The sequence below is a fragment of the Homo sapiens genome, chromosome 20 (assembly GCF_000001405.40).
Source record: "Homo sapiens chromosome 20, GRCh38.p14 Primary Assembly".
Classification (NCBI taxonomy): Eukaryota; Metazoa; Chordata; class Mammalia; order Primates; family Hominidae; genus Homo; species Homo sapiens.
In genome coordinates, this window is record NC_000020.11 from 53,409,437 (window position 1) to 53,425,092 (window position 15,656).

The window sequence follows — 15,656 nt, forward strand, 5'->3', positions numbered from 1 at the left end:
ATCATTTGAGGCTTTATTGCTGTACCAAAAAAAAAAAGTGTCTTTGTTTAATGATTCATCACAAGCCCAATTTCTGCAGAACTTAATCAAATACAGAACCAACTTTCTAATCAGCTTGAATATTAAAAAAATTGATGTAGTCCTTGTTTTCAGGATGTTGTTTGATAAAAGAAATATTGGTATGTGACACTCTGTTCATATTGGCTTTCTTTCATGGAATTCTTTCATGAAGATGAGATGAACGCTTTGCTTTTGGAGTCGAGAATGGAAGTCCATTGTTGATTGAGAAAATAGAAACTTTGACAGCCCAGTGAATGTCATTTAGCATCTGGGCCTTGCAGAGCTGGGGACAAAGCCTTGAAAAAGGTCTTCAGAATTCACATCTTTGTTTTCTTTTCTTTTTTTTTTTTTTTTTTTTTTTTTTTTTTGAGACGGAGTCTTGTTCCGTCGCCCAGACTGGAGTGCAGTGGCGCTATCTCGGCTCACTGCAAACTCTGCCTCTTGGGTTCAAGAGATTATTCTGTCTCAGCCTCTTGAGTACCTGGGATTACAGGTGCATGCTACCACACCTGGCTAATTTTTGTATTTTTAGTAGAGACAGGGTTTCACCATGTTGGCCAGGCTGGTCTTGAACTCCTGACCTCAGGTGATCCACCCACCTCGGCCTCCCAAAGTGCTAGGATTACAGGCGTAAGCCACCGTGCCTGGTTTTGTCTGCCATTTTTAATGTTCACTCTGAGAATCAGAGGGCGCATCCCAGGATGAAGGTGACTCTGGGACATGCTGACCGCAGCTACCCTCCCTGACTTACCACTTACATAGATCAGGCCATGGGCTCTCCCCTACTTTCACTCAGCCTTCAAACCACCAGCTCCACCAGCTTCCTCATCAAACTTGCTTTCTCCAGGCACATCCCTGAGCAGAATTCACTTAAAAGTTACTGATGTAAGAAAAAACAGAGCAAATCAAGGCACCTGTAAGTTATGCCAAGGCACCTGTAAGTTATGAAAAAGGTCTCAGTACGATAACAAAATCGGTGGAGGAGGAGGCATAGCATTTGAATTAAATCAACTTACAAAACACATAACTCTCTGGGCTTGGCATACATAACAACCTAAGAAGAAGTTTGGGAATTCTGTTATTATCGTCACATTATTATTATTATTATTATTATTATTATTATTATTATTAGCTGTGTTATATTTATGAAAATGTAAAATCCATGGTATTGATCATAAGCACCTTTTTTTTTTTTTTGGCACGGAGTCTCGCTCTGTCACCCAGGTTGGAGTGCAGTGGAACTATCTAGGCTCACTGCAGCCTCTGCCTCCCAAGTTCCAGTGATTCTCCTGCCTCAGCCTTTTGAGTAGCTGGGATTACAGGCATGCACCAGGACGCCTGGGTAACTTTTGTATTTTAGTAGAGATGGTGTTTCACCATTTTGGCCAGGCTGGTCTAGAACTTTTGACCTCATGTGATCCACCTGCCTTGGCCTCCCAAAATGCTGGGATAACAGGCATGAGCCACCATGCCCGGCCATTGGTACCATTTTTAAAGCACTTTAATATGAGCTGTAATTCAATGTTCCCTGGATCCTGCTCCTTCAAGTCAAATATTAGTGCAAATGCCACTTATGAAACACTTTCCTGTTCATAACTGTGAACCATGTTCAGCATTTTGGGGGTATCTTCTTCTATAAGACGGGAAGTGGGGCCTTCATGTCACAGAAGAGTGAGTGGAGGCTACGTTTGACCTGAAGTTTTTCTACAGCTAGGACCATGGCCTTGGCCTCCCTCAACCTTCCTGACATGATGTGGAGTCCCAGGGGCCTCCAGTCTCAACTCATCCCAGACTTGGCATGAACTTATGTAAAGGGAGAAAACTGTGAGCACTTCCCTAAAATCTAAGGGCAGCCTGCGGACTCTGGGTCTCCAAGTGAGCTCCATGTCTTGGCCTGGGGCAATTAGGAAACAGTGGTTAAGAGCAGAGCTTTAGAATCTGACAGACCTGGCCTCAAATCCCAACTCCTACTGTGAGCCCCTAGGACACTTAACATAAGCTCTCTGAACCTGTTTCCTCACCTTAAAAAAAGTAACTTAAGAGTACCTAAGGCTGAGGATGATGGCTCACATCTGTAATCCCAGCACTTCGAGAGGCTAAATTGGGAGGACTGCTCAAGGCCAGGAGTTTGAGACCAACCTGGGCAACATAGTGAGACCTCGTCTCTATAAAAAACTTAAAAATTGGACAGGTAGGTTGGCACGTGCATGTAATCCCAGCTGCATGGGAGGCTGAGGCAAGAGGATATCTTCAGCCTAGGAAGTCAAGGCTGCAGTGAGCTCTGTTCAAGCTACTGCACTTAAGCCAGGATGACAGAGCAAGACCCTGCCTCAAAAAATAAAATAAAATAAAAAAAAGAGTACCTATCTCATAGATGGAATTAAATTAGCCTATTCAAGCAAGAACATTTAACAAAGAGTCCCACACATAATGAGCATTAAATAAATGTTAAAACATGCATACATGTTGAATAGGCATGTTGCCTGAAGGGTGATCAAAGCATCATTTTCTTTCTTTCTTTCTTTCAATTCTGTTCAGAGGGAATAAACATTCCCCTCCCTTGAATAAGACTTCAGGCAACTCATGACTTTTCTGCTCACTCTTAGCAGGGACGAGCCCATGGTCCCATTAAGACTCAGTTCACAGATCCAATTCAGAGTCAGAAAAGTCAGGTTAACACGTCCGGTCCTGCTCTGGGCTGGAGGCACCCAGTGGGAAATTGGAGAAGGGCTCGATTCTTCTCTATGGCTGCTCCTCTGGTCTCCTCCCCAGCCTGCTGACAATAGCTTCAGGATAGTTAGAAAAGGGAATGGGACAAGAAAGGTCCCAGCCCTGGAGCAAGGCTACTGGTTCCCAGCCTGTGTGCTCCAGGAGAATGATCAAAGCTGACCCATTGTTGGTTTTGTTTTTATTGTGGTAAATTACACATAGGATAAAATTTACGCTTTTAACCATTTTTAAGTGTACAGTTCTGTGGCTTTAAGTGAATACAAACTGTTCCACAACCATCACCACCATCCATCTCCAGGGAAACAAGCTAACTCTTGATTTCTGGGCACTCACGGGTTCTGTGGACGGTTCCCTCTGGGCCGCCACTTATGAAGTTCCCTGCTCCGGGCAGAGGCCTCCGTCTCTCAGGGGGTGCACAGTGACTCTCCACGCTGCTTCCAAATGTCAAGGGTCCACCTTCAGCCCCTGACTAAGGGACAGCCTCATTAAACACGCCTCAGCACCACCACCCACAGGCTCTCTCCCCTGCAGGGCCTGTAACAATCACTCCCCACTCCTTCCCTAAACAAACTGTCAGAGGTCAGCTGATCCAAGCAAGCGGATTCCTCCTGAAACCCATGGGAGCAGCTAGAAGCCTTCTGTTTCTGGAAAGACCTCCGATCCCAGTCCTCAGGTTGGAGCTAGGGACCAGGGCTCTCTGGCTCCCTGGCAGGCCTCGACATCTTCTTAACCCACCCCCGGTATTCCTGTCCCAACAATACTCGGGTTTGTCTTGGCTCAGGTTCCCCCAGAAGCCTCCTCTAAAACAAGGATTCCTGATCCCAGGAACCCCCAATAGGGGAGAGCGGAAGAGGGACAGGGAGGGGAAGAGCAGCTGATCATGCACGATGTCATCGTGGGTAACTGGCCCTTGATCCTTTAGAGTTCTGGGAGCAGATGTAGAACATAGTCCTCAGAGAGAGCTGGGGTGTTTACAAACCAACTCCCGCTGATCGGTGGCTGACCGTGGCAAGGCGCGGAAGTGAGGGGGAAGGAGGCCAGGTGGAGGGATTTCACTTTCAGTCACTTTGCTGCAGATGTCTCCGCCAGTGGGCGCTGGCTGCCAGAGAAAGTCCCCAGACAAAGGATGCAGGTGCTGGACTTAGAAATCCTGCAGTGTGGCCAGGTGCGGTGGTGCACGCCTGAATCCCAGCACTTTGCGGGGCCAGCGGGAGATCACGTGAGCTACTAGCTTTGAATCTTAGTTCTACCACTTGCAAGTTGTGTGATGTCGGGGAAGTCGCTTCACTTCCCTGGCTCAGTTTCCCCATCTGATAAATGGGACTACTGAAGTATCTATTTCATATGGTGGGTAGGAGATGACACGAGTTAATATGGGTAAAGCACTTAGAGAATGTTTGACACATAGCAAGGACTACTCCATTGTGAAGTATTTTCCATCCATTGGAATTGCATAAGCACATTTTAGTTTTCTATGCCAGGAGACCCAGTGCAGCCTTTCAAACTAATGAAGGAAATTCTTCTATGCTGATACAGAGCAATTGCAAGAGTTATTACTTAGTGGAAATACCAAGTGTCTATAGTATTCACCTTTGTGTTAAAAATAATATCTACATTATATCCAAAAAAGTTCTTAAAAATAATATTAATATAGCCAGTAATCCCAGTACTTTGGGAGGCCAAGGCAGGAGGATCACTTGAGTCCAAGAGTTGGAGACCAGCCTGGGCAACATGGCAAAACCCCATCTCTACTAAAACTACAAAATTAGCTGAGCATAGTGGCACATGCCTGTAGTCCCAGCTATTTGGACTTGAGCCTGAGAGGTCAAGGCTGCAGTGAGCCAAGATCATGCCACTGCACTTCAGCCTGGGTGACAGAGCAAGACCTTATCTCAAAAAATAAAAATAGAAATAAAATTTAAAAAATTTAAAAAGAATAATATATACATATACACACACTCATGTTTATGTAGAGAACATTTCTGGAAAGATCAGAAATGAGCCCTCGGGTTACAGGGGTACTTTATATTTTTGTAGTGTTTGACTTTTTACTAAGTTCTTGTACTGTTTTTTCCCAGGAAAACTTTTATTTAAAAGAATAAGCCAGTACTGGCTCAACATAGTGGCTCACACCTGTAATCCCAGCACTTTGGGAGGCCAACGCAGAAGGATTGCTTGAGCCCAGGAGTTTGAGACCAGCCTAGACAATATAGCCAGACCCCATCTCTACCAAAAAATAAAAGGATTAGCCAGGCGTGGTGGCACACACATGTAGTTCCAGCTACTCAAGAGGCTGAGGTAGGAGGATCACTTGAGCCCAGGAGTTCAAGGCTACAGGCATGGATGGCATGACTCTTTTGCCAGCAGCCTGCCAGGAGCTAAGATCATACCACTGCACTTCAGCCTGGGCAATAGAGCAAGACCCTATCTCTTAAAAAAAATTTTATTTAATTAAAAAATGAAAAGAACAAGCCAGGACTATTCTCAGTGGTTTAATAGCACTAGACTTAAACCAAGGGCTCACGCAAGCACATTTCCATGTGAATCTTGCTGATTTTCTTGTTAATAAAGCTGCTGAGCTTGGTGAAGTGACCAGAGTGACCAGGCTCCTGAGTGGGCAGACCTGGGTCTGCCGCCTTCCAGCCACGTGACCTAAGATAAGCCATGTCACTGTCTGCACCTCATTCTTTTTTCAGATGGACAAGAACAGCTTCTTCAGGGTTTTTAGAGGATTGATTGAGATAATGTTTGTAAAATGCTGAGGACAGGGCCTGTCATATATAAATAGGGGTTATTATTATACACGGTGGCTGATTTCTAACTGCGAGCTTTACAAAGGTGGCAGCGAATCAAGATAGTCACTATTGTCATTTATGCAAATTAAGAAGACAACACCTAGAAAAGAAAATATCTTTCCCCTCTCTCTTTCATTTGCCTTTAACATACTCCATTATTGAAAACCCTTAAGGCTTCTGTTGAAAACTTACACAATCAACACATTAAAAATCAGCAAAATGCCAGGTTGGCTATTGTCTAAGATTCATCTTTGTAGTCTAATGAATGTCTTAAGAAATGCCAGTGGGAGAAAAAAATTAAATATGCAATGATAAAATGATCAGTACAGATGATTCCAGAGAAGCAGGCACTGTAGCTCCTATCGCTCTGCTCTCCACTGGGGCCCCAGGCCCCTCATTGCCCCCTACAGTCTCTGCTCCTTCCTCTGCTCCCCACCCCTTCTTCCTCTTCCTCCAGGCACCCCATGCACCCCACACACACAGCCTCCTACTCTACAGGCCTCCCACCTAGCACACTCTTACTATCCTAAAACTATTACAGATAATTTACCTACCTGTACTTGCCTATGCAGCTGCCCCCAAATCTGTATAATATCCTAACCCCATAATATAAATAGTAAACAAAAAGAAAGTTTATTATAGTAAAACGTGATGTATGTGTGTATATACATATTATATGTGTGTATATACATATTATATATGTGTGTGCCTGTGTGTATATATGTGTATGCACACATGCATGCTTGTGTACTATAAATGTATGTGTGTGTGTAGATATACACACACACACACACACACACGCACACACAGGCATGACAGTGTTAGGAGACGTAAGAGGAAGTCTAGATTTAAGAAGGTAATATTTAATGTACTGTTATTTCCCCCTTTTCTTTATATTGACATTTTGAAACAAAAGCTAAATAATGCCTGTGTATAGATGTGTGTATATGTACATCCTGGTGAATCCGGTAACTGTCAGGAGGGTCATGGAGCTAGAAAAGAAGGGTTTCAGTGGGGACTAACGCAGTCAGCTCTGCAATTTAGGAGGGTTGCTCTGGCACCCACGTGAAGGGCAGGTGGGTGGTGGAGACGAGTGGAGGCAGAGAGGCCATGTGAGGCCACTGCCATGCTGGGCAACTACAGCAAGGATTAGAGGGAGATGAGAGAGAAAGGCTCACAGTGGGCAGAACACAGACCCCAGAGGGCGATTTGGGTGTTAGGTACAGGTCTTAGCGGTCATCAGGATGAAGGCGGTGGGAAGTGGAGCAACAGAGATCCAAATATGGAAAGAGCACGTGCTGATACCAGAGGCACTGGAAATAATAGCAATATCCGAAAGTCTGCTCACCCTGCGTCATTCCTTCAGACAGTAGTCGGGCTCTATTCACTTGTTAGTTTTCCCACAGGGCTGTGAGCTTGAGAGCTAGTTCTTCGCCCTTTCTAATCTCTGTAGCCTCTACCAGGAAAAAGGGTATCAGCATGCCAGGACCAGTGGGCTAAATCCTACCCAGCACCTGCTATAAAGTTTCAGGGCACAGTCACACCCATCGTTTACATATTGCTGCCTTAACTCTGCAATGGCTTAGTTGAGTACCTGTTACAGAAACCCTATGGCCTGCAGATCCAAAAATGTTTACCATTTGACCTTTTAAGAAACTGCCAACCCCATGATCTCCCATCATGCTGAGAACATAGTAGATGTCCCACAAATATTTACTTAGTGTGTAAATGCAAATCATAACAACAGGACTTCTTTTCGTCACATAGAGAAATAATCCATTGATTCTGTTTTGACTGGCACACCCCTTGGATTGCATCCCCAAATGTGAACCTCTTTTTTCCCAAGTCATTCATTCTCCCATTTGGTTCAATCCTTTGGAGAATTAATTCTTGAAAAAGGCTGATCTCAGGGGAGCCCCTGAAGACAGAAGACTAAAAGTTTTGGAATAGAAAATGTTTTCTCAACCTTGGCACTACTGACATTGTAGGCAGACTTGTTCTCTTGTGGGAGGCTGTCCTGTGCATTGTAGAATGCTGAGCAGCAGTGCTGGCCTGCACCCTCCCTCCTCCCCTGCATGACTCTCAAAGCTGTCTCCTAGGAGCCAAAGACTCCTTCCAGTAGAAAACCATGACTCTAGAGAGAGAAACTGTAGGTAAGAACTAAGCACCATCTTGCAAACATCCCTGAGGATATCTATATACAGACACAGACACACACAGACACACACACACACACACACACACACACACACACACACCATAGTTTTTTTTTTTTATTTGTTTGTTTTGTTTTGAGAAGGGGTCTCGCTCTGTCACCCAGGCTGGAGTGCAGTGGCACAATCTTGGCTTACTGCAACCTCTGCCTCCCAGGTTCAAGCGATTCTCCTGCCGCAGCCTCCCAGGTAGCTGAGAATACAGGTGCATACCATCACTCCCGGCTAATTTTTGTATTTTTAGTAGAGACAGGGTTTCACTATGTTGGCCAGACTGGTCTCCACCTCCTGACCTCAGGTAATCTGCCGGCCTTGGCCTCCCAATGTGCTGGGATTACAGGCATGAACCACTGCACCCGGCTGTTCACCAGCATCATTTTTTAGAATAACGTGATAGGAATTTGCACAGCCTCCCTTCATAACCTATTCTAATCACTCAACTCAGCCTATCAGAAAATTTCTGATGTCTAACCTAATTCCTGCTTGCTGCATTTGCTTCTCTTTTTTTTCTTATCCTATCTTCAACAAAAACTAAAAAATAGGGATGAGCTGGTATAGATGCTTGCCATAATAATCCTCCTTCTATGGCAGTCTCTTTACAAAGAAATCTGGAGAATACATAATAAAAGTAATCACTCATTCAGCAAACACTGAGGACCTCCTCAGCTGGTCCTGCTTTGAGTGCTAGAGACACAGCAAGGAACAAGAGTGAGCAGGGCTCTGAGCTCACAGAGCTACATTCTAGTAAAAGGAGCAAATCATCAAATAAACAAAACAAGATAATAGCACTTATTAATGAGTGTTTGACGCCATAAGAGTGGCTGTGGCTGAGGTTGGAGGGGACCCTTAGCTAGGATGGTAAGGAAAGGTCTTGCTATGGAGGGAATATTTAAGCAGAGGTCTATATGATTCAAAACAGCCTGCTGAGAGAGTAAAGGGGAGAAATATCTGCTTTCCATGTGTTCCCCATTCCAGGTTTTCCATCTAAAATGGGTGTGGGATCCTACTACTTCCCAAGGTTCCCTTTTTTCTGATGGGAAGGAAAGAAGCCTCTACGTGGTCCTGGATTCTCTGAGCAGCTTCAAAAAACAGCCCTCTTGATTAGCCTGATGCAGCCTGAGGATGTCATAGGCGTATTAGTCTGTTTTCACACTGCCGATAAGGATATACCCGAGGCTGGGCAACTTACAAAAGAAAGAGAGATTTATTGGACTTCCAGTTTCACATGGCTGGTGACACCTCACAATCATGGCAGACAGTGAAAGGCACGTCTCACATGGCGACAGACGAGAAGAGAGCTTGTGCGAGGAAACTCCCCTTCTTATAACCATCAGATCTCGTGAGACCTATTCACTAACACGACAACAGCACAGGAAAGACCTGCCCCCATGATCCAATTACCACCCCCCAGGTCCTTCCCACAACATGTAGGAATTCAAGATGAGATTTAGGTGGGGACACAGAGTCAAACCGTATCAATAGGGATTTCCTAAATGAGAAGAGTCCATGCCAAAAGTTAGAGACTCCCAGGTTCTCAATAAGATCAACCTGAACCTGAAGTACTCTCCTCCCCACTCGCTCCCAGCTCAGTCCAGGCCGCCAAAGGCCTAACACTAAGGCAGGCCACCCAGACAGGTGTGATCATAGCTAGGATGGTGTTTGGGTGGGGGAGACCCTCTGACTAACTCCTCTAAAGCCAAAATGTAAACATCCGGGTTCATCCCTCTCTCTCCTCCAGCCTCCTCCACTCAGCTCCTGTCTGTCTTTCAAAGTTCAAGCCATCCTGTGCAATGAAGCAGCTCTTGTTGGGTGAATTAACAACATGAGGAAAAGCTAGATCCATCGGGAAGTTGGCGCTAATTGTTAGATCTAAGAGGAAAAAAGCAACTGTCTCAGCATTAAGCCGCTTTGTGGACCAGGTTGTTTTGTTCTACTTGTGACTCGGGCTCCCCGTCAAACCGCCTCAGACACATGGCAGGTGTCACTCAGACCCTTCTCACTCACTAGGGTCCTGCAGACATTAGCTCACATCTGGGCTACTTTTACTAACAGCCAGACGTTGGGGAAGCCACTTACACTCTTTGGACTTTCATCTTTTTATCTTCAAAATGGAAGGATCTCCTTTGGAGGGTTGCTATGAGGATGAGAGATAAGGTATGTGTTAATAATAATAATAATGCCATCATGCAGTGAGTTTCTGCTATGGGTTAGACACTGTGCTAAACTCTTTACACAAATATCTCATGCTCACAACAGCCCTAAGTGGAGGGTCCATTATCACTAGCTCCATTTTACAGGTAAGAAAGGTGAGGTATAGACATTAAACACCATGCCTAAGTTTGCCCACTCTATAAAGAGCAAAGCCAATATTTGAACTGAGGTTTATTAGACTCCAGAGCAGGAGGTCTTAACCACAGGCCCCTTCCACAGCGGGCAGTCAATAACAAATAGTCTTCATTGCATTATAGCTATGACCACTGGGAGAATCAGAGTCAACAAGTGGCACTACTCTAACCACCCTCACTCCTGACAAACACGGGACATGTGAGAGATCTGTGGCCACCTTGCTGGGGCAGAAGGGGCAGCTCATTCTGTTAAGGGACACTGATGTCACCTATTGATGTACAGTGTCCCAGGGCCTGCATGACACCACGCTGCCGATCTCCTAATACGTCCTGCTGAGCCAGGCAGCTGACATAATTATGCAAGGACCATCTGTCACTTAGCCCCTCTCTGTCTCTCTGCACCGTATATAAAGCAGGAATTCAGAAATTTAGTCATTCACTGTTCAACTAACCTTCACTAAATGTCCACTAAGTGCCAGGCACTGCTCTATACAGAAGTCTACAGATGGACGTAAATGCTGCACTCCTGGTGTTCACACTGGAAGGAAAGAGTCCAGAAAGTAAAATAGATAATATGTTTAGAACACAGAAAGAATCAAATGCCTATGGTGGCAGGGTGGGAAAACAGGGAAGGCCAGGTACAGGGAGGATGCTCAGTTCAAAACAGAGTGGTCAGGGAAGGCGTCTCAGAGAAGGCGGAAAAGGTGTGTCAGCCGGGCATGCAGATATCTAGGAAAGGACATTCCAGACAGAGGAAAACAGCAAAAGCAATCAATGACCCAGAGGTGAATTTGGATTGTTAGAGAAAAGTTTCACAAATTTCATTCCTGGAACACCAAGCTCATAAGACATTCATTGAAAAAAAGTGGGCCAGGCGCGGTGGCTCACGCCTGTAATCCCAGCACATGAGGCCAAAGCGGGCAGATCACGAGGCCAGGAGATCGAGACCATCCTGGCTAACACGGTGAAACCCCATCTCTACTAAAAATACAAAAAATTAGCCGGGCTTAGTGGCGGGCGCCTGTAGTCCCAGCTACTTGGGACTACTGGGAGTAGTAGTCCTGAGGCAGGAGAGTGGGAGGCTGAGGCAGGAGAATGGCGTGAACCCAGGAGGCAGAGCTTGCAGTGAGCCGAGATTGTGCCACTGCACTCTAGCCTGGGCGACAGAGCAAGACTCTGTCTCAAAAACAAAAAAGAAAAAGTGTGTGGGGTCCAATAAATTTTTGTTAATGCCTCATGCTGTACACCCCACTTTTGGAGTTTGTGTTACCCATTAGCATAAAAAGGGACAGAAGATGGGAAGTCTTGCAGTAAAGTCTTGCTCAGCTCAGGCTCACTCACTCAAACATATTTGACTACACAGACATTTCTTCACATAACACCTGATGGTATCTCACAGAGCTACGTTTCAATGGAAACCAATCTGGGAAACTTTGGCATAAACTCAGGACCCTTTCCCTAATACAGTTTCTTGATTCTCTGTCCCGCATTGGGTCATTCAGCAAACGCTCACTGAGCAGCCTCTTACTAAATGAGAGACACTGAGCTAGATTTGGCTGGAGATGGAGCAGAGAATAAGACTCACTGACTCCATCTAAAAAGTCATGGCCACAGCCACGGTCAGCCCTACCATGTTCAATATCACCGCAGATGGCGAGCCTTTAGGCCATGTCTCCTTCGAGCTATTTGCAGACAAAGTTCCAAAGACATCAGAAAACTTTCATGGTCTGAGCACTGGAGAGAAAGTGCTCCTGCCTTTGCAGAATTATTCCATTATGTACCTGAGTGGTGACTTCACACGACTTAACGGCAGTGGTGGTAAGCCCATCTACAGGGAGAAATTGGATGATGAGAACTTCATTCTGAAACATGCAGGTCCTGGCATCTTGCTGGACTCAACACAAATGGTTCCCAGTTTTTCATCTGCACTGCCAAAATCGAGTGGCTGGATGGCAAGCGTGTGATGTTTGGCAAGGTGCAAGAGGGCATGAATCAATATCACAGAAGCCAGGGAGAGCTTTGGGCCAGGAATGGCAAGACCAGCAAGAAGATTGCCATTGCCGACTGTGGACCACTCTAATGAGTTTATCTTATGTTTTTGGTTTTTTTTTTTTTTTTTTTTTTTTGAGACGGAGCTCTGTCGCCCAGGCTGGAGTGCAGTGGCGCGATCTTGGCTCACTGCAAGCTCCGCCTCCCAGGTTCACGCCATTCTCCTGTCTCAGCCTCCCGAGTAGCTGGGACTACAGGCGCCCGCCACCATGCCCGGCGAATTTTTGTATTTTTAGTAGAGACAGGGTTTCACCATGTTAGCCAGGATGGTCTCGATCTCCTGACCTTGTGATCCACCCGCCTCGGCCTCCCAAAGTGCTGGGATTACAGGCATGAGCCACCGCACCCGGCCTATCTTATGTTTTATCTTAACCAGCAGACCACTGCTTCTGTAGCTCAGGAGAGCACCCCGCCACCCCATTTCTCACAGTACCGTATCATATTGTGCTCTTAATGCAGTTCGTTGGGTTTCGTATTTTCTTTATTCCTGTCTATGGCTAGCTGGACTGCCGAGTTAAGGTTATGATTATGAAATAATAACTAAATAACGAAAAAAAGGTCATATCCACAAAGCAAGCCAATGTCTGCCAGGGAAGATTAAAGTGTGTGCATGCTGACCCTTCCCTTGAATTCAGTGACCCAAACTTTCCAGTGGACAGTTCTTGGAAATGAACGGTTAAGGACCACTCCTACCCCAAACTCCTCCTCTTGTCACTTGTGAGATTTCAGCTGTTGGTCTCACCTGCATTAGGAGGGCACTAAGATGATTCTTATCAGATCCATGTGGTTTTAAGGGAAAGGAGTGGTGGTTGCTATTATAGACGAGACGAAAGGAAAAACTCACAGCAATTTATACGTTCTCAACACCTTCTCAAGAAGAAGAGAGTTGAAAAAAATCTCAGAACCACCCCCCTCAGATGCAATTTCAAACATACACCCACATACAACACCCCAACCTTAATCAGCCTTTGAGTTAGATTAAATTGACTTCCAGCACCACAAACACACCCGCCGGCCAGGCCTCTCATTACCACCTGCACAGGATTGCTTTTCAAAGGCTGGGCTTTTCTCATTACAATCTCGAGTCCAAAAAAATAGGAAGCAATGCTGGGAGGAGGGGAGAGAACAAAACCTTATTTATTCACACATAAAATATACTTATTCTAATCACCCCTGGATACACTGATCTCCTTCAATATACAGTCAGGACTTCACGAGCAACATGATGCAGTGTTAAGAACATAGAATGCAAATAATAATAATATCTATACTTAACAGTAGTAATTTGATTTCCTGGTTTGAGAAGCTGCTATTAAGGGCATTACCTACTTAACTCCTCAATGCGTTCTTAGTCCCCATTTTATAGATGAGAAAACAGAGATCTACAAAGTTGCAGTAATTTGCCCAAAAAATCACAAAGAAAGGCGTCTAGCCAGATGAGAAACCCAACACCTACACTGTCTCCTGGTAAAAGGTATATGATATTTGGGTTGGGCGCCGTGGCTTATGGCTGTAATCCCAGCACTTTGGGAGGCTAAGGCAGGCGGATATCTTGAGGTCAGGAGTTTGAGAACAGCCTGGCCAACATGGCAAAACCCCGTCTCTACTAAAAAATATGAAAATTAGCCATGTATGGTGTTGGCTTTCAGGAAGGCTGAGGCAGGAGAATCACTTGAGCCCAGGAAGCAGAGGTTGTAGTGAGCTGAGATCATGCCACTGCACTCCAGCCTGGGTGACAGAGCAAGGTTCCATCTCAAAAAAAACAAACAAACAAAAAAGGCTATGATATTTGAACCTTGGTGTGCTTGAATTTCAGCCTGAGCACTTCTGAGGCAAGATACCTTGCATGGATCACATATTTTTTCTGAAACTCAACTTCCTTATCTGCTCTCTCTGCAACTCTAGGCAAGAGTGCCCATTTAGCCCAGGGTAGGGCCTCAACAAACTCTATTCCCTTTCCTTCACCCAGAGTTTTCTCTAGACTTTGCCAACTGCTTTGTTTAAGACAATCTCCCAAAGTCAATATGTGCTGGAAACTGTGCTGAGAACTTGCACATGTCACCTCATTCCGCCCATGCAGCGTTACTGAAAAATGCATTGGTTCCCCCTCTGTTTGACTGGCGAGGCAACTGATGCTTCAGGATAGTCAACAACTGGTCCAAAATGACCACACTGTCAAGTAATCAACTCATAGTTTAAACCAATGGTTCTCAAAGCAGGTGAGTTTCGGGGGATATTTGCAAGGTCTGGAGACATGTTTAGTTGTCACGCCCAGGGGGTGGTGCTGTTAGCGCCTACAGACTAGAGTCCAGGGATGCAGCTAAACACCCCGACGACGCGCAGGACAGCCCAGCCCCGCTGCAAGGAATCATCCAGCCCAAATGTCAATAGTGCCAAAGTTGAGAATCCTTTGGTTTAAACCAGATTTATCTGACATCAAAGTCGATGAACTTGCACTGTTTTGCTTCCCTAACTGAGGGTTTCTCAGCAGTACTGACATTTGCAGTCAGATAATTCTGTTATGGCAGCTGTCCTGTAGGATATTTGTAGGTTATGTGTAGGATGTTTGCAGCATCCCTAGTTTCTACCCATTGGATGCCAGTAGCACCTCCTCTCAAATCGTGACAACCAAAAATGTCTCCAGATATTGCCAAATGTTCCCAGCACTCGCTCCTCTTTCCCCTGGGGGGCAAGTCATTCCCGTTTGAGAATCATTTTCCTAATTTAAGGAAATGAGCTATGAAATGAGAATAACAAAACAGCCCTGAAAAATATTAAGAGAATATCCCGGATGACCATTATTTGCATGTGTTTTTAAAAAGTAGATATGTCTGTTTAAGTATACACACATGCACTTACATATGTAGCCATGTATATATATAATGTTTCATACCTGGGCACATATGGCAGGAAGAAATATTGACCAACCTCTTTTTTTTTTAAATTTTTTTAATTTCTGGGGTACATGTGCAAGATGTGCAGGTCTGTTAAATAGATAAACGTGTGCCATGGTGGTTTCCTGCACCTGTCAACCCATCACCTAGGTATTAAGCCCGGCGTGCATTAGCTATTTTTCCTGATGCTCTTCCTCTCCCAGCCAGGCAGGCTCCAGTGTCTGTTGTTCCCCTTCCACCCATATGTCCATGTGCTCTCATTGTTCCACTGCCACTTACAAGTGAGAACAGTGTTTGGTTTTCTGCTTCTGTATTAGTTTGCTGAGGATAATGGCTTCCAGCTCCATCCATGTCCCTGGAAAGGACATGATCTCATTCCTTTTTATAGCTGCATAGTATTCCATGGTGTATATATACCACATTTTCTTTATCCAGTCTATCATTGATGGGCATTTGGGTTGACTCCATGTCTTTGCTATTGTGCATAGTGCTGCAATGAACATATGTGTGCATGTATCTTTATAATAGAATGATTTCTATTCCTTTGGGTATATAACTGGTAATGGGATT

General features: G+C 45.1%; 1 protein-coding gene and 1 pseudogene across 10 annotated transcripts in view, besides 1 other annotated feature; both read left to right on the top strand.

The window, feature by feature from the left end:
• TSHZ2 (teashirt zinc finger homeobox 2) overlaps nt 1-15,656 on the top strand; it is a 522,973-nt gene that overhangs the window by 437,079 nt on the left and 70,238 nt on the right. The window lies entirely within an intron of this gene.
• Nucleotides 3,755-3,804: a silencer, noted in NCBI's record as "silent region_13047". NCBI's record gives its function as "represses an Ori minimal core promoter by ATAC-STARR-seq in GM12878 lymphoblastoid cells {active_cell/tissue: GM12878}" and the evidence as "EXISTENCE:reporter gene assay evidence [ECO:0000049][PMID:35858748]".
• PPIAP10 (peptidylprolyl isomerase A pseudogene 10) lies at nt 11,756-12,242 on the top strand (annotated as a pseudogene).